This window comes from Homo sapiens, chromosome 5 (genome assembly GCF_000001405.40).
Source record: "Homo sapiens chromosome 5, GRCh38.p14 Primary Assembly".
In the NCBI taxonomy this organism is placed as follows: domain Eukaryota; kingdom Metazoa; phylum Chordata; class Mammalia; order Primates; family Hominidae; genus Homo; species Homo sapiens.
This window is the reverse complement of record NC_000005.10, coordinates 103,903,189-103,927,252: the sequence shown is the minus strand read 5'-3', so window position 1 is coordinate 103,927,252 and position 24,064 is coordinate 103,903,189. Positions and strand designations below refer to the sequence as shown.

Genomic DNA, 24,064 nt, shown 5'->3' with positions numbered 1-24,064 from the left:
AAAAATATTAATTTTATTATATCTTGATCTTTTATGTTGTATAATGACATGTCCAAACCCTGCCAAGACATGCATATCTCAGTAAACCGACATTTTCCAAATAATGCATGATGTTCCAAAATTGCACATGGGTAAAAATATTCATTCAGTGTGCAAAATGTTCCAATGGATTCAAATGTAACCGACTATGAAAAATTTATTGACATGATTTCAGACTCAACATTGCAAATAACCTTTAGTTTATTGAAATTATCCTTCATTTTCTAACTAGATATCTAAACGAAGCTGGAACTCTTCATATGCTTTCTGAAAACTTCAAAATTACAACAGATTGAATGCAAAGAAAGATAGGGAAGTCTAGTTGTTTTCCCTATGTAAACCATTTCCTTGGTTTTCCCTTGTAAACCAAGCATTACAAAGATCTGAAAAATTTTAAACAGTGTAACTCTTTTCATGACATTGTTTTTATGTTGGAAATATTTTATTTTTTATTAAAAATGTTATTTAGGTTAGCATGTAATGGATTCATCATTATGGTTGTTAAAAAATTAGTAAATAAATAGTTTAAATTGTCTTAATTTTCTAATGTGAAACACAAATAATAAAAAAGCCTACATAAACAGAAGGTGTTTGTTTCTTCAGTAGTTTCATGAGTATAAAAGAATTCCGAGACTGAAAACTTTGAGAATCACTGGTTTGGAGGATTTCGCAAAGTATGAGTTAATTCTTGTGAAGTACTTAAAACTGTTTCAAAATTCTATGTATGTATGTTGATAAATAGACAATGAACAAGTAGACAGAAAAATGAAAGGTAGGTAGATAGGCAGGTAGACAGAAACACAATCATTGATTAAAATAGCTAATCTGTTTTTGCAGGAATATTGAGGATGCTCACACATATAGAAGAGAGAGAGGAATATCTTGGAAACACAAACATCACCCATAGGCAAAGCAATTTTCTACCTCCTCTAGAATTTGAGCCTGTATGAAAATACGGATGTGTTATTTCACTTGCTATCATGTAGATGTGTCCTGATGCCTCTTGTAAAGAGAAAGAAAACAGGAGAAAAAAAAAATCAATGCTAGAAAAACCAAAGACTTGATAGGGCAGTGTGATAAAGACAGAAGCTTCAATGAGAATTCCGTAAGATAAGTCAGTGTTTCTGAGAACGAAAAGCACTCTGAGAAACAGAACGCAGACACTTCATTTTAAAATAAAGTCTCCTAATCTGATTTTCTCTGTGAGAGAAATCAGTTTCTTCTCTTTATCCTAGCAGAGTCCTTGAATGTACCTGCTGTTTATAGTTATAAAGTAAGTCACATAGACAAAAAACCTCTTTCTCATTTCTCTGAGTCAAGGGTTGATCTTTTCATCTGAAAATCCATCAGTAGATACTAAAGAAATTTGAAAATCTATGAAAAGAAAATGGCTCATGGTACATGATAAATGCCTTTATGGAAGCATTTAAATATATTCAAATTATGTATCTGGCAGTCTGGAACTCTAACACCCCATGTCTTCTAACACCTCAGGGGTGAGGAAAGGACAAAAGAGAGTGGTCCTTATTCTTTTGTGAGAAGGAGAGTCATTAGTCCTTTGAGAATCTAGAAATCTGTGGACAGTTGCCCCAGAAGAAGATGCAGGGGCATAGTTTTTTTAACCTAGTTTCAAGGAAGTTCACACCCTACCTAAAGACCATTATCCATAAGTCTTCCAAAGGATGACTAGAATCAAGAAAGATAATTTAGGAGCAAAATTGACACTTCTAGCCCCATTCTCCACTAAGTTACTCTAGATTAACACACTATAAGCAGTCTCTGAGTTAATCCTCATATTCTGAGTCTCTGTATTAATCCTCATACAGATAAGGATTAATAAAAGGATAAATTGTGGTCATGGGACAAAACACTTTTTTGGACCAGTTCCCTCAATTCACATAAGGAGAAATTAAAATCTAGAGATGTTAAAAGTCTTTCTCAGAGTTACAAAATCTATCATAGAACTAACTGACTTTTCTCACACTCTTGTTTGTTCTCAAGTCTCCTAAAAATAGTTACATATATTCAATGCATAAAAAAGATTACTATCTACACACTACTGTATTCTAATCTAGGAACATACATTATCAAAGCTGGAAGACTATTTAGGTAGGGAAGGAAGATGTTTCAAATCAGGAAATGAAGAGCACAGTGGTAAAATAAAAGTTAGTGAGTTACAATTAAATAGCAGCAATTGCATCCACAAGTTATAGAAAACAACATCACAAGAATGAGCCAAATACACTGGAGATGCATAATTGCTTGGATCAGTCACTCAAAATTGTAACCATTTGTTAAATTTAAACTGCTTTTGTATCAGTCAAATTCATAGCAGAAAAAAAAGATATTACATCAAAAGGGGTAACTGATGAGAGGTATCAAAGGGACTATTTATAAACATGGGTAGTGTCAAGGTAAACCAAGAAGAGATGGTGCAGAATATCAGGGCTTGCGACGTGGGGATCCATTACACTTTTAGGACTGAAGGAGCAGCTGCTGTAAAGGAATGCAGTAGGTAGGAGCTGTGGGAGTGAATGCCGCCTACCTCACTCTCCTTTCACCCTCTAATCTCCTGCCCATGCCTAACTTGATCAAACCAGAATCCAGAAGGCAAGTGTACCTATTGATGCATTTCACAATAACAGCACCTCTACGACTAAACAAAGTGGAGAATGGTGGATCTGTAGGGATAAATACCTGGAAAATCCCTGAAGCACAGTGTTGGATCCTCTCAAGCTGTAGGAAACTCAGAGCTATTCCTTGGAACCGACCAAGTTCTGTGCATAAAACCTTATACTTCCTTTAAGGAAAGGCACTGAATAGAGTGAACAACTTGACTCCGTATTCAATGTACACTAATGCACTGTTAGAAATCACCTTAAGCTAATGGGCTGTGGAAGGAATACAAGGATCCCATGCTGTGTTTCAAAATCTAACATTACCAGGCAATTGTAGGAGATCAAATAGTGCTTCCTAAAGGAGCTGCTGCATGAAAGAATAATGTTCAGCCTTGTAGTGTCCTAAGAGAAACTCTAGATTGCAGAACTTATGAATAAAGTAAGTGATTGAGGAGGGAGGGGAAGAGTCCACCCCCAAGATTATTGCTTGCTACTTCTCAAAAAGAATCACATGGATACTGATTAGTAGTCTCCTAGAATTGCATTCTCCTAAGGCTATTGGGAGTTCAAGACTAATAAGGGAAAGTTGGTGGAAGCAGCTGACAGAACTATAATACCCAGCTCTCACATTAGCAAAAAGGTTTTTTTCTGAAAGTTATCCAAAAGCCTAAGGCAGCTGATAATGCCTGGGATGAAAGATCCAATGCAAGGGGCCATCTGACTCTGCTGGGACTAAGAAAGGCCTTAAGCCCATAGGGCATTGCTCACATACCTATCTTCCCACCCCTTGCCCATTCTTGAAGACCACAATAAAGAGAAATAGGGCTGTAATCCTTACTGTTTTAGTATCTCTGGCAAGAGGACAAAAGCTGTCCAAATGTCTCATGGGACAAAGAGGAACAGTACTAGCCTGTTGGAAATTTGGAATCCCAAATGAATACTGAAGTCAACCTTCAGATTACCAGTAGTGAGAGGCACATGAAAGAGGTTTAGATGTCATTTTACTTTGTAGTTCTGACCTTAGTCAAAATAGATTTTGATATTCAAACTGAAGTATAATCCCTCACTGCTATTCTTACTTAAAACTTGAATAACTTCAGCAAATTGGGCAGACAGGTGCCTAATGAAGCTGATATTTATAAATCAGCATTTTTCTTCACAGGACTATGGACCCCAATACATCTCTTCTAATTGGAATCAAGTTTCCTGATCAGGACTCCTGTGACCTTTTCTAAGCCATATGTTCAGAGTACATGGAATCAATCCACTATGCCAGCTGTGTTCTTATTATGTGAAATGCACTATAGTTTGGAAAGCACGCTTGATACAGATTATTCCAGGTTAGCAGAGCATGCCAACAGACGTGTATGTGTAAACATGCGAGGTGAACTTAATCACTGGGAGAGTAGGTGTTGGATGGGGTATTCAAACAAGTGAATTTTCAGAACAAAGACTACTTCTAATTGTAAATAGAGTTACCTTCAAGAAAATGTAGAAGATAATGTTGTTTTTTACATAAGTTGAAAGTCAATGGAAATCATTGGTGATCTTAGAGAGTTATATAAGCCCAACATAATCTACCTAGCTGTATTTAAGATGCAGCAAAAATGGAGGGAAAATACTCTCATATTACTGTGAGATAAAAAAAATTAAAAACTCTGTGAGTCAAATTTGAAAAGAAAATTTAAGTCAATCTTATTAATATGTAAAATTATTCACTTCATCTCCCTGGAAAAATATGCACCCCCCTCCCCATTGTCATCTGGTTGTGGCATGTGACTCTTGGTGCCCTTCCTTGCCTTGTTAAACTCAGGCATAGACAAGTGATTTGTTTAGGCCAGTGAAATGTCACTGCTGAGCAGAAGTTGTAAGAGCTAGCATGTGAGTTGCTACATCTCTTTCTTCTCTTTGGAACAAGTGCTAATATTCTAGATAGAGGCAGATCTCAGCCAAAGTTCTGGAGTGAATATGCTGAACAGTAGCTTATCAGCGATGGATGCATACCACAAAGAAAAACTACATTTTGTTATTGTAAACCACTTAGATTGTTCAGGTTGTTTGTAACCTCAGCATAATCTAACCTATTCTGTCAAATGTAATGATGTCTTGGAAAATTCATGTTAAGAAAAATGACTTTTTAATCTTTTTTCCCCCACTATTGATGAAATTTTAAATAGCCTGTATTCTTTATTTTGCTTCTAAATGAGGGGATGCATCCAATCAAAAAGTCTAAAAGAAATCATACAGTCACTCTAAAGGCACTTAAGACAGTTCACCCAGGTAAAATTACATTAAATTGCTTATGATTATTGTTGTGTATGCTCCTTACACTTTCCAGCAACTTCTTATAAAGCAGCTACAAAATATTTACCAAATAGTTAAGTATGAAAATAAGATGCCAGGCCGGGCGCAGTGGCTCACTCCTGTAATCCCAGCACATTGTGAGGCCAAGGCGGGTGGATCATCTGAGGTCAGGAGTTTCAGACCAGCCTGGCCAACATGGTGAAACCCCGTCTCTACTAAAAATACAAAAATTAGCCAGGCGTGGTGGCAAGCACCTGTAATTGCAGCTACCCAGGAGGCTGAGGTGGGAGAATCGCTTGAACCCGGGAGTTGAAGATTGCAGTGAGCCGAGATTGCATCATTGCACTCCAGCCTGGGTGACAAGAGCGAAACTCTGTCGGAAAAAAAGAAAAGAAATAAAAGAAAAAAGAAAGAAAATAAGATGCCAGTCATCTTTAGTGTCACTTATTACCAGAAGTCTAAGGATTATATATAAGTCTGTCAAATAAATGCAAAAAAGCCAGGAGATGTAAATTCAGGCTGAATTTTGGCTAGTGACTAGACTCCATATTTTAGGATAACTGAGCTATCCAAAGTTGGAGATTATTTACTATAGATGAATTCAAATACCCAGAGAAAATTCAGATTTAAAAAAGCAAGTTTCTAATCAACAAGAATGCATTTGGAATTCAATATTTCACCACATTAATATGATTACATGTGTTTTTCAAGGCATTATCTTAGACCTTTCAAAGATAAATAAAGCACTGTGGACAGTATAAAGAATATGCCCACAGGAGTCAGATAGGAATGGACATAAATTCCCTCTTGAGGACAGACACAATGGCTCATGTCTGTAATCCCTGCACTTTGGGAGGCTGAGGCAGGTGGATCAACTGAGGTCAGGAGTTCGAGACCAGCCTGACCAATATGATGAAACCCCATCTCTACTAAAAATACAAAAATTAGCTGGATGTGGTGGAGGTGCCTGTAATTCCAGCTACCCAGAAGGCTGGGGCAGGAGAATCTCTTGAACCTGGGACGCGGAGGTTGCAGTGAGCCGAGATCACGCTGTTGCACTCCAGCCTGGGCGACAAAAGGAAAATTCCGTCTCAATAAATAAATAAATAAATAAATAAATAAATAAATAATTCCCTCTTGACTTCTTACAAGCTCCATGACCTTGAATAAATTCTGTTTCCTCATCACTAAAATGGGAATAATAGCCACCGTACCTCTCTGTTTTTGCATTGCTATAAAGAAACACCTGACGCTGGGTAATTTATAAAGAAAAGAGGGTTAATTGGCTCATGGTTTTGCAGGCTGTACACAAAGCATAGTACCAGCATCTGTTTCTAGTGAGGCTTCAGGAAGCTGCCAATCATGCGAGAAGGGGGATTGAAGTGGGGGAGGCGTGGGTCCCAGACTTTTAAACAACCAAATCTCATGTGAACTAACTGAGTGAGAACTCATTTATCACCAAGGGGATGGTGTTAAATCAGTCATGAGGGGTTCACCTCCCATGATCCAATCATCTCTTTCCAGACCTCACTTCCAACATTGGGGATGACCTGTCAACATGGGATTTGAAGGGAACAAACATCCAAACCATATCAGCTCTTCATAGGGTTGGTGTAAATATTAAATAAAGCATAAAATTCAGCTATAAAAATGAATGCAATATTACATGAGTTCACTTTATATTAATGTATGTATCCCAAACTATATTTTTATTAATAATAATTATTAAATAAACTTATGGAATGTAACATTTGTTTGACACCCTCTCTGTGCCAGACTCCGTTCTAGGTACTTGGGATGTATAAGTAATCAAAATAAACAACTCCCTACCCACGTGCAGCATGCATTACAATAGGGAAAGAGAGAACTACTAAGAAAAGTATATATTGTGTTAGGTGGTGAAATGCCATGAGAAAACAACTGAGCACAGATGTAAAAGAGTAAGGTGTGGTACTTTTTTTTTTTTTTTTTTTGAGACGGAGTCTCCCTCTGTCGCCCAGGCTGCAGTGCAGTGGTGCGATCTTGGCTCACTGCAAGCTCTGCCTCCTGGCTTCACCTCATTCTCCTGCCTCAGCCTCCCAAGTAGCTGGGACTACAGGTGCCCACCACCACACATGGCTAATCTTTGTATTTTTAGTAGAGACGGGGGCTTCACCATATTGGCCAGGCTGGTCTTGAACTCCTGACCTTGTGATCTGCCTGTCTTGGCCTCCCAAAGTGCTGGGATTATAGGCGTGAGCCACCGCGCCCAGCCAGGGTGTGGTATTTTTAAATAGGGTTATCATGTGGATCTTTCTGAGAAGATGAGCTTTAAGTAATGATTTGAAAAGATAACAGGTAAAAAATAGTAATAAAATATCTTCTAGAATAAAAGCTCAATACTGTACATTATCATGAATCAAAAGCTAAATATTTATTCATAGGCAGAATGAAGGACATATACTCATCTGGCCTCAAAACTTCTCTTTCACAGGGACACACTGCAGAAACACTGAGCAGCAGTCTGCAGGCTTACTTCATGGCAGCTTAGAGAAAGGAAATGATATGCTCAGTTAATCTTTAATATATAATTTCCTTACTGCTGGGACATAGCAGAATGTAGTAAATAGTCCCAGAGAAGTACACTCTGGAGCATAATGCCCTTTTAGTAGGAGGCCTGGTGTCAGTTTATTTGAGGAAATATGTGAAGAAGAAGCAATTGTGCAACCTGTATAGGGAGGAATCCTACATCTCCAAGCTTGTAAGAGTCTAAAAATCCCTTAAACAGCACATATATGAGAGAAAATTAAAAGTAAACATGGGCTCCGGACTTCACTATATGTCACTAGGGAGCTTTCTTTCATCTTTCGGTTGTCACATTAAACCACAGTGGGTCCCAGGCTGAATCCTAAACTTACTGTAAACCAGGAACTGACCTAGGCCCAAGGGAGGAAAAAAAAAAAAAAAATCACTAAGCATATCCCAGGCTTCCCAAGCCTTCCATAGCCCACTTTAAACCTCACACCTCTCTTAGTATTGAAATAGCCAACCACTTTGTTCTACCCATTCCATCCCTCTCACCACTTGAAAAAATAAAATGGCTGAAAGATTTGGTGACCCCTGGGTGAGAGAGAAATTCACAGGCTGTATATTTGCATTCTTTCATCCTGAATATCTGGCTCAACATAACCACTGAAAAGTCAGCTAAGGTGGTACTTCAGAGGCTAAAAGGAACAGGCAGTGCAACACTCAAAATTGATTTGCCCCCTGGGGATCTAACTCTTCTGCAATGCTCATTAAAACTTAACTTAAAATTTTAAAGGGTTTAGAAAACCCTTTTAAAAACATTTTCCAGTGTGACCTCACTCCAACTGACTGTCCTGCTTGGTTAAGCTTACTGTGGAGGGAATGGAATTTTTCTGCTGGGTTGCAAAGGATTGCATAGACAAAGGGAATAGTTAAAATGCTTTTACTTGTGTTAAAATTGATTGAACAAGCATAGAGGTTCCAAATCTCCCTAATTAAGCTCTGAAATGGCTTCTGCATTCTTTTTTGAAACCAGGGGGAATTCCCTTGAAATGAACAAATATTTCCTGTGGTTAAGTATTCATTAAAATGAGCAATAGGGAATGAGCACAGTATCTAATATCAAGAGAAAAACTGTAAAATGAAAAAGGATGGATAAATAAGAAATTAATAATCTAGGATTTTGGCAGCTGGACCAAATTGTCACCTGTTGTTCTGTTTTTCTAATTATTCTCACTGTAATTTACTCAGCTGTGCCTATAATTCTCAAGTATGTATGAAGTTAATACAGGAGTTAAAGTTGTTAAGGTCAAGCTAACTGTTTATTTTACTTACAACCATTTGAATAAAAGATAATATTCATTTTTGTGAGAAATTTCAAAGAATAAGAGATTTTAGTACTTTGTAAGGGGAAAAAAGTAAATACTCACATAACAGATTTGTACATTATGTAAGGTACAATTTAGTAGTTCACTGTCTTTTATTCTTGAACCCAAAGTGTTGAATTCAGTATAGTAATTCAATTCAAATTCTGGATTTTTATTCGCTAATATTAATCCATAATTTTAAAAAGTGATGCTTAAAACAAATTAAAACAAAGCTTTGTCTAAAAGAACGTTTCACATACAATTTGCTCTACATGGAAATTTACTTGTTCTTCACCTAATTTATATTTATCATAAAATTATTTTGCAATGTAAAATTCAAATATAGCCATTAAATACTGAAAAACTACACAAAAATATCTCCCCAAAATATCATTGAAGTATCTGATTTAATTCAAAGAGCTAAACAGCCATTTCTTCCTCATCAAACACACACACTCATACACACACATTCACATACAAATATATACTATGTATGTTTGTGATCATTAAAACAATAAACCTGTGACATTCTGGCATTGAATAAGGTGCAATTAAATTCTTTATTTTAAATGCCTAACAGCTATAGAATATCTCAACTTGAGCAGTAGTTGTTTAACCCAGATGCCTATACTTTGTCTTAATTTTGAAAATGTATAGTGCTGAGACAAAAAGAAAAAAAAACTGTGTAGTGAGGCCCTATTTTTGATAAGATAGACCTTAAAGTTTTCCTAATTTCTGTCATAGGACAAAAATTAGTTTAGCAGACTAAAACTTATGCTGAAATGAGATGAAATATTACAATTTTCTGTCTCTGAAATAAGGAAGTTAAAGACATATTTGTGCAAAAGAGAGATCATATTTAATAAGTATTCTTAGCACGATAAAAATGGAGGTATCCTATTTATATCTGATTTAGTTTTTTAGGATGAAAATTACCTAAAACTGCAAATTAGAGCAATAACTTTGTGGTGAACAGTTCTTATTTACTACACACCATTTTCTAGAGCTTCCTTTACTTTATATTTCAGACTTTTCTACTTTCTATTTCACGAAGTTTGTTCCCTGCAGTCTTGGTAATGACTGACAGCTATCATTAAGCACTAATCATTTAAAAGTCAGAAGATTAAAGGTAGAATAGTTTTTCTTTGGGGGAGGGGATATAGTTTTGAACAAGATGGCAGACAGAAACAAATTGTGGAAGCTGTGTTTCGCAAAGAACACACAGCTTTTGAAAATTTCTGTCAAAACAACTGTTGGAAGCAAAACTATATGTAGTTCCAGTTTTCTCAACCAGAGTGTACAGAAGATAGAGACCTATGTGAAATAAAAGCGGCTTGGCCAGCAGAAAGTGTTTAAGCTATAACAAAACTATATTCTTAGCAATTTTCTCTTATTTACATATTTTTGACACATAATGTCAACTGTAGGAAGAAAAGACCACATCTCAATTCCTCATATAATTGAGGAAAACATCAGTAAGCACTAGCTTCAAAAACATGGTAATTGTTTCTCTAGCTTTTGTCCCTTTACAGGTACATAGGAATAAAGAAAAACTCAATTCCAACGTCTTTGAACTTCTTGACAGGTATAGAATATTTGAACATGAGCTGTATTTGTTTAGCCCAGATGTATGACACTGAAATGTGCTACATTAGAAGGCAGACGAATGTGGAAATTTGCAGCACACGGAGATTTGACCATTAGGTAGTCTTGTAACAATACAAAAGTTCACTGTTTGTCCCATGAATGAGGCACTCATTTTATATGCAGGATTTGTGGGAAAGACTGTCTTTCTGAATTATGACTAAAGACAAGTAACACTTGCTGGGTCAGTGAGAAAAGTGTTAGCACTATTGGTGCCACTTCAGAGAATATTAATGTATGGAAATTAAAGAAGTTGGTCTGTCTGAGTCATTTGAGTACTGGGTTAGAATGCCAATGGATAGAAAAAAAAATGACCTTCAAACTCAGGAGATACCTTTAAAAAATGAGAGCAGGGCAGTGGGAGCAGTGAAATAATTATTTACAAGTATTTACTATCACAACAAGAAAACACAATAGATAATCATTCTAAGAAATCATCTTTAGATAGAAATAGAAAACTTTTATATCCAATTTTAGCTTTTCATTTGTTGCAAGAAAAAAACAAATATTATGTTTCTCATTATACAGTTTGACAAAACCCACAATTAATTATAGCTTTAAAAAATTATTAAAATGCCTTTGACCCTATATCTTATTATTGTATATATTACCTATCTAGTTCTAAATTTTTGAAATTAAGATTAATGATTCTTTATTAGTAATTACACTTTTTTGTTTATGAAATGACTCACAAGTAAGATGTAAGTATAATTCTTAAGAGAAAAATATTAATGGCACAACACAATAATTGCCATACAATTTATCAGAGAACTGTAAATACCACACAAGTAATGCACTCTCTGCCATGTGTTTTATGTGGTATTCATCCTCAGTAGAGAAAATACCTGCCTCTATGTTAATATGATAAAAGACATGCCAACAAAGGCCCCATATAAAAGAGTTGAAGTGCATCATGACAATATGCTAGGACAACATAAGGCTGTGTATAATTGGGTGCTAATGTGTGTATGAAATCAAATTCATATAGGCAATTCTCTCTCTTGTGCCCTTAGTCAAATTTTAGCTTTGATTGTTCTAATAGTTCTACTTTGGAAGGAGTGACTGAAAGTCATAGAATGTCTTGCCTCAATCTGCATTTCAAACAAACTAAGCCACAGATATTAACAGAAAAATAATGATAATAAATTAAAATTTACTACTGCTTGTGCATTTTTATCCATTACTTAAGAATGAAGGGATTCCAGGGTGGGCAGGGAGTGGGAATGAAGCAATGGACAGTTTAATATTAGATTTGAAAAAGAGAAAATAAGTGCACTCAGGCTTAATTTTCCATATGATTAAAAAATAAATGTCACATTATAAAATACATGTATCTCTACTAACCTTTGTGAATATTCTTTCTGTCCAATTCAACACTATCATTACCAGGCACAATATCCTCTGAGTGCCAGGACAGTCTGCTAACTTGGAATTCTTCAATTAAGCCTCTTAATTGGACCTACAAGGGCACTGGAATTTAGAATATGAAAGGAATGGACCATTTGGGAATAAAATCTTAAAATAACATCTTACCTAATTATTATTCATATTTCATTGTGAAAGTTACATTTGGGATACTATTACATCAATCTGCATGGTTTACTAAAACACACTTTAGAGGTGCCTGAAAGGCTCTTTATCCTTTAAAGCATCAGTTCAGGGTTTTCCATTTCCCCGGAGATAATTGATGCCAATCCAATGTCACAGAGGAAACAATTTCTTTTTTTATACCAGGTCATGGGTGAATCTAAATGTCATAAGCTGATTTCCCCGTTGATCAATTAAGGTGCTGTACTTGACCCACTTTCAAATATATATATATATATGCATAACGCTAACTTTCCAATATAATTTACATAACAAATATATTGTAAAACTTTAAATTCTCTCTACCTTTAATATTTTACCTCAATGGCATTGTTGAACAGACGGCTTCAGAGCAAATATTTTGTAAAAATATTTATCGGACTAATATACTTTAATTCTTGAGAAACTCCTGTCTGTATGCTTATGTATCAATGAATAACTGCTAAAGTATATTTTTATTTCACTATAATCTACCTTTTCTCCAGAATTAATAAATACAAATGTTTAATACTTTCTAAATTATATTATCTAAATTTATTTAAAACCTTTTACATTTTCAGCATTTCTTATTTTATTTTTGACATTCATAGAAAAGGCATTGCAAATCACTACTTAGATGATAATTGAATAAGATCTATTTCATAAAAAGCAGCATTCTAAAGTCAACTAGAATTTTTGGAATTAATTATGCACACAGATATGGGCTACGTTGATCATATAATTTGTAGTCTAACCCAGGATATTTTAGAGTGAAAACAGGTGCTAATAATATGTACACAGTCATAAAAGTTGTAAACCAGGGGAGAAATATGGTCACATTGGGATGAACAAATGGTTGTGAGGCAAAATATTTGTTTGGTATGTGCACAAACATTTAGAGTAGAATCAGCTTTTCAAGAAAACATATGAATTGAGAAAAATGAAAAAGTGACAGACTATTGCTTTTTCCAGCTTTCAAGGTTTATGACAGAAACACAAAATCAGGACTTTGTGTAAATTATATCGGTGATGATACCGTCTCTTCCCACTCAGTCAATTCATAATATATTCTCATTTTGAAACTATTTTAAAGTAGGGAGGAAATCTTTATCCAATTGTTTTATCCTTCCATTTTTATAATTTTATGGGTGACACTGACAGATAAATGAATTGATCATCAACATTTTAATCAAGGTAATCACTATTATGTGTAGATAATAGAAAATCATGTTCATGGGAATCACAATTGTCATAGCATAAATTAATTATTTATTTAACCCATCCTTCTCTTGAGAAAATGATGGGTCACAATTAACAGAAAAGTAATATTGTGTTCAAAGTAAACAACAGTAATTCATAATAATTCACATTGTCTCAAGATAGACCACATACAACAGTTCCCAAAACATTGTAAACAAAATGTATTGTTTTAAAGAGCATACTTTAAAAAAATCCTTTACACATCTGATACAATGAAATTTCCTAGAAATTCGTATATCTTTTGCAAAAAGACTTTGGTCTCTATCTCATCACGAACATCTAAAAAACAAGTAGAATATTTAATTGAAACTATTACAGGCAATGAGGGGTCTTCAGTAATTTCGTGAAACAGAATTTCACTAAAATTTTTTGTCAAAAAAATAAACGGGATTTTGTGGTAATGCACAAACTCTAATGAAATAACTGACGTAAAGTAATTCGGTGCTATAGATTTGCAACTTACCCCACTATGGTTGGCTGCAGCAAGGCTGCCTCATGCAATGCAGCAGACACATTGTCAGGCACGTGCTTTAGTCTGAATCTGTTTTCTCTTTCCTGCAGGGTGTTGAGTGAAAATGAAAACTCATAATTTATATCAGAGAAAACAGAGATCAATAAGGAGATCAAGAGTTGCACACCTCTCAAATTGTTCACTCTGTTGAGTACTGATAACTTATAGTGGAGAAGTGAAACTGAAGTCAAATGCGGCTTTGAAGTACTCCACTTAACTACACTCAAATGTGATAAATGAGTAGTTCTCATAAGCATAGTACATTGTAGATGATATATATATATATATATATATATATATATATATATATACGTGTATACATATATATGTATGTGTATATATATGGCTCTTGCCCCATAAATTCATAATGATTTATTTTTGAGTATCCAAAGGCCAGAATATGATTTTTGACAGATTATATGTTTAGAAACTCTTACACTGAATAGCTAATTTTAAGACCAGATATTTCTGTCATTTATGGAGGAAGTACATCTAATAACTAGTAGGGTAAGGTTTTTCCAAAGCATATACTTATGCTTGCTTAAAAGAAGCCAGACATGCATTACCAGCGAAAGTTAACACCCTTGTTGTGGCTGATCCTATTCCCATTTGTGGCATTTCTAACCTTCATTACTACACCAACCTTTTTTTTGAGTCAAGGATTGTTTTACATAGGCAGTTTGTCTTCCAATATCTATAGAAAAAAGTTAAGAAAAATATGGTCTTTGCAACATGTGTCATGTTCTAAGCACCAATGAAATATGTGATGAAAGCAGAGTTAGCGCAAGCCACTATAATGGAAACATAAGATTAGTTTGTGAAAGGTAAAGCACAGATGGAGTGCAGTGTTCCACGTTTCCTAAATATATTCTAGTCTGTCTACTGAAGTGGGTGCTTCAGGGTACATCCTGACTATAATTTAATCACTTTTGGTAAATGAGTACCACTTATAGTAAATCTGATCATACTCTGCTCTGAAGGATTTTTCCAATCTTTTCATTTGCTGTCAGATCCCTTTTGAAAATAAATTTTCCCACTAAAGACTAACCCTTAAAGTCACCATGACGCTGTACAAGGTTCTCTGTGAAAGAAATATACACTAATTCAAATAGGAGAATTGGCAGTTTATGACATAAAACCATTAGCATTTGAAACCTTTGGCTTACTTCTATGTAGTAACAAATTTTATAAGTTGTTATAAATCACACTTTTTTCAAATGATTGCAGGAACTGCCATTAATTATTATTTTTGTTTTAGTTTACTTTGCTTTTAATTTTGGAAAATTTCAAACATACAAAAAGAGATCAAAAACAAGACAAACCCACATATCCCTATTACATAATATCATTATTTTCAACACATGACCAATATGTATTTTTGATACCCTTACCCACTTGTCACATCCCTGATTTTATATATATACATATAATTTTTTTTTTTTTAGACGGAGTCTCACTCTGTCGCCCAGGCTGAAGTGCAGTGGCATGATCTCGGCTCACTGCAAGCTCCGCCTCCCAGGTTCACGCCATTCTCCTGCCTCAGCCTCCAGAGTAGCTGGGACTACAGGCGCCTGCCACCACGCCGGACTAATTTTATATTTTTAATAGAGACAGGGTTTCACCGTGTTAGCCAGGATGGTCTCAATCTCCTGACTTCGTGATCCACCCGCCTTGGACTCCCAAAGTGGTGGGATTACAGGTGTGAGCCACTGCGCCCGGCCCTGATTATATTTCTGATTACATTATATTTCTAAGGAAATCCTGAACAACATATAATTTTATTCATATCTATCTAGAGAGAGATATATATGTATGGGTAAATATATATATATAGACTTTGTATATAAATGTATGGATTGAATATATACATGGACTAAAAGACTCATATATATGGGTCTCTTTTTTTAAAACATTACCACAACATGATTACTTTTTAAAAATTTTACAGTGATTTCTTAATACCAACAAGTCTCTAGCGTTCGTTTTTAAATTTTTTACTACATATTGACAAATTATAGTTATGTATACTTATGGGATACAAGTAGTGTTATGATTGTTTAATACAATGTGGAAAAATTGAATTAAGCTAATTAACATATACATAACCTCAAGTATTTAACATTTTTTGCAATGACAACATTAGACATGTACTCTCTTTATGATATTATTTACAAAATGTATAGAACTTAAATTTATTCTCATAATGTCTTAATTTTAATGTTTTTTTTTCTTGGATAGAGGTCCAGATAAAGTGCATGTGTTGTTGTTGTTATTGGTTGATATGTGCTTCTTAAGTCTCTTTTAATTTATAGGCTTCCACTCCTCTCTCTCTCTCTCTCTCTCTCTCTCGCAATTTATTTGTTGAAGAAACCAGATTCCTTATGTATCCACTTTCCCATAGTATGGATTTTGCTGACAGCATCCCTGTGGTTCCTTAACACATTCCTCTATCCTCTGTATTTCCTGTAAATTTGAAATTGGATCTAGAGGTTTGATCAAATTCATGTTTAATATTTTTGGCAAGAATACTCCATACATGCTGCTGTAAAGTGTTCTTTAATAATAAAAATATTCACATTTTGACTATAATAAAATTGTGGTTAAAAGCATGGTCTCTGGAGACCGAGAATAAGGAGTCTCATCCTGGTTTTGCCTCACTCTAGAGGTGAAACCTTAGGCAAATGAATCAATCAGTGCTTTACTTTTTTCACCTGTAAGATGGGCCAATAAGTACATCTAACAAAGATTTCTGTAAAATTAAATTATTTCAGATAAAGCACTTTAAATAGTGCTTGGTACATAGTGAGTACTCAATTGGTATTAGCTGTTATTACCAAATAGCTGAAATTAATTATCAGGAGGAATATGCAGAAAAGATTTGCAACAATTTTAATCCATATAGCAGCTAAATTGGCAAGTCTAGTAAGGATGGCTTTTCAATACCTAATATAAAAATTGAACTGTGAGTGGACCTAAAGTTCCCAATATATCAAAGAACTGCTAAGGAAAGATGCAACCTTTTGCTGGGTGTTCAATGATTGAACACCCCACAGGTTACTAGTGATTGAAAGAAATTGCTGCTGACCAGTTCTGTAAAATGCATTGTTTCTTTCCATATATACTTTTCTTGGCTTAACCTCAGAGAATAACCACAAGCATTCTTACTTTACATTTTATTCTTTCTTAAAAACTCTGACAGCATCAAGCGAAGCAGAACAATTCTCTTAGCTAGGCAAAATAAATGAGTTCATCTCTCGCTTTCCAGAGCATTTGTTTACATAGAAAGTGTTCACTCTTTTAGAGACAGGGCATAAATGATTCACACATTCAATCAGTAGTTTACAGAATTTCTAAGGGAACAAAATCACTTAATATGCATTGTTTTAAAATTACAATCTTGAGAATGTCTATTAACTAAGGATTTAGCAAACATTAAGTTATAAAATCCATATGATTGGAAAATGGTGAAGATTTGAAGTCAGATGAGCAATGGAAAATTTAGGCTGGATATTTAAGGAAACTGCCTATTAGCAAGAACCGTTAGATAATGGAATGGTACTTTTCTTAAGCTCCATAAATTTCAAAAGTAAATTGGAAAACATATTGGAAGAAAATGTTCCATCCCACCAGGGGAATAAATGAAATGATCTTTTCATCTTCTTTTTCTAGAAGTTGGCCTGCAAATCAGATGTTTAAAATTTACCTACCCAAACTATGAGCAGCATAAGTCCAATATTAAGCTTAGTCTGAGTTTCATTGGGAAAAGTTCCATTTCCCGATCCTGGGCCAAAAGCTGAATAATACCAATATGGAAATTTGGAGCAAAATCAATTGTTAAAGTCAGATTATGAGATTTTAACTGCCATTCCAGAACTACTTATACAGCCCTTCTATGTTATTTCCACTTGCCAGATCAACACCCAAGGGTCATTTTGACATTAAAAAAAAAAAAAAAAAAAGTCCCAGTTACACATCCAACTGCTGATTTACAAAGCAAAAGCAAAAGGCAACCTGCGAGTTTGGCTTTAAAATCCCGTTTGCCTGAGGGATCTATGGATGAAAGAAATTTTAGCCTACTGTTTAAGGGCTAATATTCCCACATTTCCATATCCCATTTAGGGTGGGTAGACTTTAGCACTTCAGCTTAAGCAGTATCACTTTATATAAGGTGCTTGAGTGGAGTAGGCAGCAAGCTGGAATGGGATAATAAATGGCAGAGAGGCAAAGAGGCTGCTGCTACAGGTAGCCACCTATGCCAGTTGCCAAAGGAAAATGGCTGTGAAAAGCGAGCACATTTATTTCCATGAGCAAAAGATGAGAATTTAATAGTAAAACAGTAAATTGAGTGTCTGTCCTTTTACCTCTTACTAGAATTTCTTTGTTGTCCTTTGCATGGGGAAGGTTAACAACTCAACTTAATTCTTCGCGCCAAGGAACTTTACAGGCTGTCATTTGGTTAAGGTCTAATGGGCCTTCAGGGATTTGATAACTGAATGCTGCGCTCACTGGAGCAGACTGCTCCACAGAGGGCCTGGAAAAGAATGTTTGAGTTGGAGAAAAGGTGCCGCTGCTCCGACTGCTTTTCCACCTGCAAAAACAGAACCTTTGGGGACAGTAGCACTGTAGTTAACGGGAGGCCAGATTCAATCACCCGGGATCCTAGGAATGAGAAAGGTGTTAAAGTAGCCAGCTCTTCTGTTTTGCCAAGGATTTTCCGGCCTTGCTGTTTTTGGCAAAATTTTGAAATATCCCACTTCTCTCACTCTGAGCTTTTCCCTTTCCATTTCTCAGAGATGGTTTTGTATATTGGGATGACTAGTCCAAACAGAAAGACAGAATTTTAAGAGGATGTGAGATTCACACTTTTTGGTTCCCCACATGCCTCTGAACAGCATTTGGCTGCTGTAGAGAGTTGAGGGAGGGACCCAGAAGCAATAAAAGGATCAAGTTGCCAACCACCTCAACCTCAATATTGGAAAGGGAACTCCTAAAACCCCTAGCTGACTAAATCAGATGGAAAATTTCAAGACATTACCAACTGAAAATGCTGCAGCTTTCACTCAGTAGACTTTGAAAGTCCGGTTCATATTTAACCAGGGAGAATTGGTACAAAGTTCCTGATGAGAACACCTTACAACTATTTCTTTCCCAAAATTTCCAGTAAAAACCTATCATCTTCACTAACCTGTAGTGATATAGTGACATAAATCCTTTGATCCAAAGTTTCAAAAATGTTAGTTGTGATTATAAAGCAAACATACAATTTAATTTCTTTTTTCTTGTTTCTTTTTAAAAGTTTTTATTGTAATACAATATATAGAGTATAAAATATGAAATTTTAACAGTTTTAAGTATCCCATTCAGTGGCATTAGTTACATTACAATGTTACACAGCCATTACTACTGTTTCTAAAAGTTTTTTTTTTAATCATCCCAAAGCGAAACTCTGCAAAAAATATTTTTTAAAGGATGACATTCTGCTCATAGCTGCCATAAGTCATGGTGCACACACCTCAAATGAATCATGATTAGTACTCATGTATGTATTTTTAGAAAGGAAAGGAATTGGCTTAAAATAATTATTGGAAAAATATGTGACAACTAATCACTAAACCTGCTCGGTCTATACAGTAGTTTTGATTAATTTTATTTAATTAATCAGGCATTTTGTATAATATAAAATTTCAGTGACAAAGTAAGATTTATGACCTAGATAATCAACCTAACGCTTGAAAAAATAGCTGAAGCAATGTAAAATAAACAAAGGCTAAAAATGTAAAACCTGAACATAAATTCACAAGGCCAGATAAATCAAGGCATGATTAAACTGTAGAATTCTAAATATTATTTTTTTTTAAATTTTCTAAATTAATAATTACATTATTAAACAAATTTAGGTGTGATTTTGAAATAGCCTTAGGTAAAGGCCCAGAATAAAAGTTTAGGGTTCATATATAATGCTGTCTCAGCCACTGATCAAAATTGCCCTGTCTTTCAACAAGCAAAAGTAAAATATGAATTATAGATTTACTAGTTTTAGGCACAGCTTCTCATTTCATTCAATTTTTGCTCATTGATTAGTAAATCCAGTCAATGGCAATGACAATTTGAGAAGTAAATCCCTCCATCAAATCTGAAATCTTGCACATTGCCTCTTTGAAGTTCACCCTTTCTTTTCATCACCATGCATTTCAGTGCTGTGTGAGGTAAGTGCACCATTTATTTTAATCCTGTTGAATGGATGAACTTAAATAACAATGCAAGCCTTTTTCCATATAGTGCTGTAATTCACTTTGAAGTGATAGCATTTTTAGGATTAAGATATATACATTTTGGTTCTTTGACTAGTTGTCCTTTCTTTGTGAACTATATTAATAAGAATTTAAAGCAAGACTAAGACACAGCTGCCTTCTAATGCAAGTCGTAGAGTCATAAACAAAATTCCACTAGAGCAGCCAACCAAGATGAATAACTATTTTGCAGGGAATAAAACTATCATTTAGTAACTACAGACTATGATATTCTCTTTAATCACTTGAGTTAGAGTGACTATCGATAAAATCAGTCTTGAAAATATTTTCATTTATTATCACATTGCCAGTATTCAAATAAAAGAAGTTTGAAGTACTATTGCAAAATAAATGAATAAACATTACATTATTAACTTAATGCTTACTGCATCAGGCAATTAATTATTCCAACCTTTTAAAAAATGTTCTGAGGGATTTTAAAAATAGGCATTGTCAAAAAGACATGCATAAAAGGAAATATGATAGTTATTTAGAACATATGGTATTAATGTAATATAGCTTTCTAAAAAAAAGCTGTTCTAGAAAGAGTTATATACCATACTAATTATGGTATATAACTAATTATGATATATATGGTATATAACTTTTTAGTTCTATACCCATACTAATTATGGTATATAACTCTTTACCTAAATATTGCATACTAATTATGCAATATTTAGATATCGATTTGTTGAGTTACTTTAGATAAAGTTTAACTTCTAATAGTTTCCATTATAGCAACCGTTCAAAAGAAAGTATCTACAGAAGGAAATCTCCTAAAGTACCACCACCTCAAGATAACCATTCTTAATATTTCAGAATATTTCTTCCCATATTTTTAATCTATACTATTACTCATATTTCTCTGATTAAAAATAATATATGCCAGGAGATGAAAAGTTGGATAATAGATACAAAGTAAAACAATAAATAAGTAAATAAAATTTTAAAATGTATATATTTCAACCATCCAAAGATAGACTTTGTAAATAAAGTGGCATATGACTTTGAGTCTATTTTTTAATGTTTATGTTTATATTTTTTCTCCAAATATTTTTTAACATTAATAGGTTTGCTTTTCTGTAAAAGACAACAAAATTCTTAATGCAGAAAAATTCGGTTGAGTGAGAGAACCAAAGATGTAATAAAATCATCCGTAGCCTCACCAACAGAAATGTACTGATCATGTTATCCATGTATTAGCAGTATAACTTCAAATCCTACATGTTGTCATTACCCATAAATAGCTACAAACCTTTTTAATATGATTAAGAATATTTCAAAGCAATATGTAAGGGTCCGCTTAAGGAAGAACAATTAGAACTATTCGGCAATGCTGTCTGGGTAAGCTGTGATATATTGTGAGTTTTATTTTTAGCTTTTGGGCCCTCAGCATCCCCCTATACCTTTCTAACAAACTATTTCCTACCCTATCCTTTCACGTATCTCATTTTTTCTTCTTTCTAACTTTTAATTTAGGTTCAAGGGGTACATGTGCAGGTTTGTTACATGGATAAATTTCAAGTCATGGAAGTTTGGTGTACACAAATTATTTTGTCACCCAAGTAACTAGTATAGTACCCAATAGGTAGTTGTTTGATCATCACCCTCTTTCTACCCTCCACCCTCAAGTAGGCCCTGATGTCTATCTATTGCTCCCTTCATTATGTCCATATGTATTCAGTGTTTTTCTCCTACTTATCAATGAGAACATGAAGTATTTGGTTTTCCATTCCTGTGTGATTTGCTGAGGATAATGGCCTCCAGCTGCATCCATGTTGCTTCAAAGGACATGATTTTCTTCTTTTTAAGGCTGCATAGTATTGCATGGTGTATATATATATATATATATATATACACACACACCATGGAATATATTCCATGGATATATATATACACCATGGAATATAGTCCATGGATCGTATTCCATGGTGTGTGTGTGTGTGTGTGTGTGTGTGTATATATATAAAACATGGAATATATTCCATTGATTCCATGTCTTTGCTATCATGAATAGTGCTTCAGTGAACATACTTGTGCATGTGTCTTTGTAGTAGAATGACTTATATTCCTTTGGGTATATACCCAATAATGGGATTGCTGGGTCAAATGGTAGTTCTGTTTTAAGTTCTTTGAGTTATCTCCAAACTGCTCTCTACAGTGACTGAACTAATTTACATTCCCACCAGCCATGTATAAGTGTTCCCTTTTACTTGTACCCTTGCCAGCATCTGTTTTTTGGTTTTTGTATTTTTTTAACTTTTTACTAATAGCCATTCTGACTGGTATGAGATTGCATCTCATTGTGGTTTTGATTTGCATTTCTCTAATGCAAATTGGAGAAACTAAATACGGGGATGTTGAGAATTTTTTCATATGTCTGTTGGCTTCATGTATGTTTTCTTTTGAGAAGTGTCTGTTCATGTCCTTTGCCCATTTTTTAATGGAGTTGTTTGTTTTTTGCTTGTTGATTTGTTTAAGTTCCATATAGAATCTGGATATTAGACCTTTGTTGGATACATAGTTTGTGAATATTTGCTTCCATTCTCTAGATTGTCTGTTTACTCTGTTGATAGTTTGTTTTGCTGTGCAGAAGCTTTTTAGTTTAATTAGGTCTGACTTGTCAATCTTTGCTCTTGTTGCAATTGCTTTTGGAGTCTTCATCATGAAATGTTTGCCAGGGCCAATGTCCTGAATAGTATTTCCTAGATTTTCTTCTAGGGTTTTTATACTTTTAGGTTTTACTTTTAAGTGTTTAATCCATTGATATGGTTTGGTTCTGTGTCCCCACCCAAATATCATCTTGAATTGTACTCCCATAATTCCCATGTGTTGCAGGAGGGACCCAGTGGGAAATAATTTGAATCATGGGAGCAGTTTCCCCACTACTCTCCTTGTGGTAGTGAATAAGTCTCACGAGATCTGATGGTTTTATTAGGAGTTTCAGCTTTTGCATCTTCTTCATTTTCTCTTGTCACTGCCACGTAAGAAGTGCCTTTCACCTCCAGTCATGATTCTGAGGCCTCCCCAGCCATGTAGAACTGTGAGTTCAATTAAACCTGTTTTTCCTCCCAGTCTCAGGTATTTCTTATCAGCAGCGTGAAAACAGACTAATACAGTAAATTGGTACCAGTAGAGTAGGACATTGCTGAAAAGATACCCCAAAATGTGGAAGTGACTTTGGAACTGAGTAACAGTCAGAGGTTAGAACAGTTTGGAGGGCTCAGAAGAAGACAAAAAAACGTGGGAAAGTTTGGAACCTCCTGGAGATATGTTGAATGGCTTTTACCAAAATGCTGATAGTGATATGAACAATAAGGTCCACCCTGAGAAGGTCTCAGATGGAGATGAAGAGCTTGTTGGGAACTGGAGCAAAGGTGACTCTTGCTATGTTTTAGCAAAGAGACTGGCAGCATTTTGCCCCTGCCCTCAAGATTTGTGTAACTTTGAACTTGAGAGACATGATTTAGGGTACCTAGCAGAAAAAGAAATTTCTTTCTTTTTTTTTTTTTTTTCTGAGACAGAGTCTTGCTCTCTCACCAGACTGGAGTGCAATGGCACAATCTCAACTCACTGCAACCTCCACCTCCTGGGTTCAAGTGATTCCCCTGCCTCAGCTTCCCAAGTAGCTGGGACTACAGGCACACGCCACCACACCCGGCTGATTTTTTGTATTTGTAGAGATGGGGTTTCACCATATTGGCCAGGATGGTCTCAATATCCTGATCTCGTGATCCACTCACCTTGGCCTCCCAAAGTGCTGGGATTACAGGCGTGAGCCACCACGCCTGGCCCAAGAAATTTCTAAGCAGCAAAGCATTGAAGAGGTGACTTGGGTTCTGTTAAAAGCATTCCATTTTAAAAGGGAAACAGAGCATAAATGTTCAGAAAATTTGCAGCCCGATGCTGCAGTAGAAAGAAAAACCCATTTCTGAGGAGAAATTAAAGCTGGCTGCA

The 24,064-nt window shown here is 35.0% G+C and overlaps 1 long non-coding RNA gene across 3 annotated transcripts in view, besides 1 other annotated feature; it reads right to left on the bottom strand.

Moving 5' to 3' along the window:
- LOC105379107 (uncharacterized) overlaps window positions 1-24,064 on the bottom strand; it is a 339,090-nt gene that overhangs the window by 19,069 nt on the left and 295,957 nt on the right. For 2 of the 3 annotated variants that reach the window (XR_001742833.2, XR_001742830.2), the window contains exons 1-2: window positions 13,767-13,991; window positions 11,822-11,947 (exon numbers count right to left, since the gene is read on the bottom strand). This is a non-coding gene — a long non-coding RNA (uncharacterized LOC105379107). Of the gene's footprint in view, window positions 1-11,821; window positions 11,948-13,766; window positions 13,992-24,064 lie in introns of those variants that run through there. The other variant, XR_001742831.2, reaches the window with a different exon arrangement.
- Window positions 13,798-13,998: a silencer, noted in NCBI's record as "peak5381 fragment used in MPRA reporter construct". NCBI's record gives its function as "represses an SCP1 promoter by STARR-seq MPRAs in K562 erythroleukemia cells {active_cell/tissue: K562}" and the evidence as "EXISTENCE:reporter gene assay evidence [ECO:0000049][PMID:32103011]".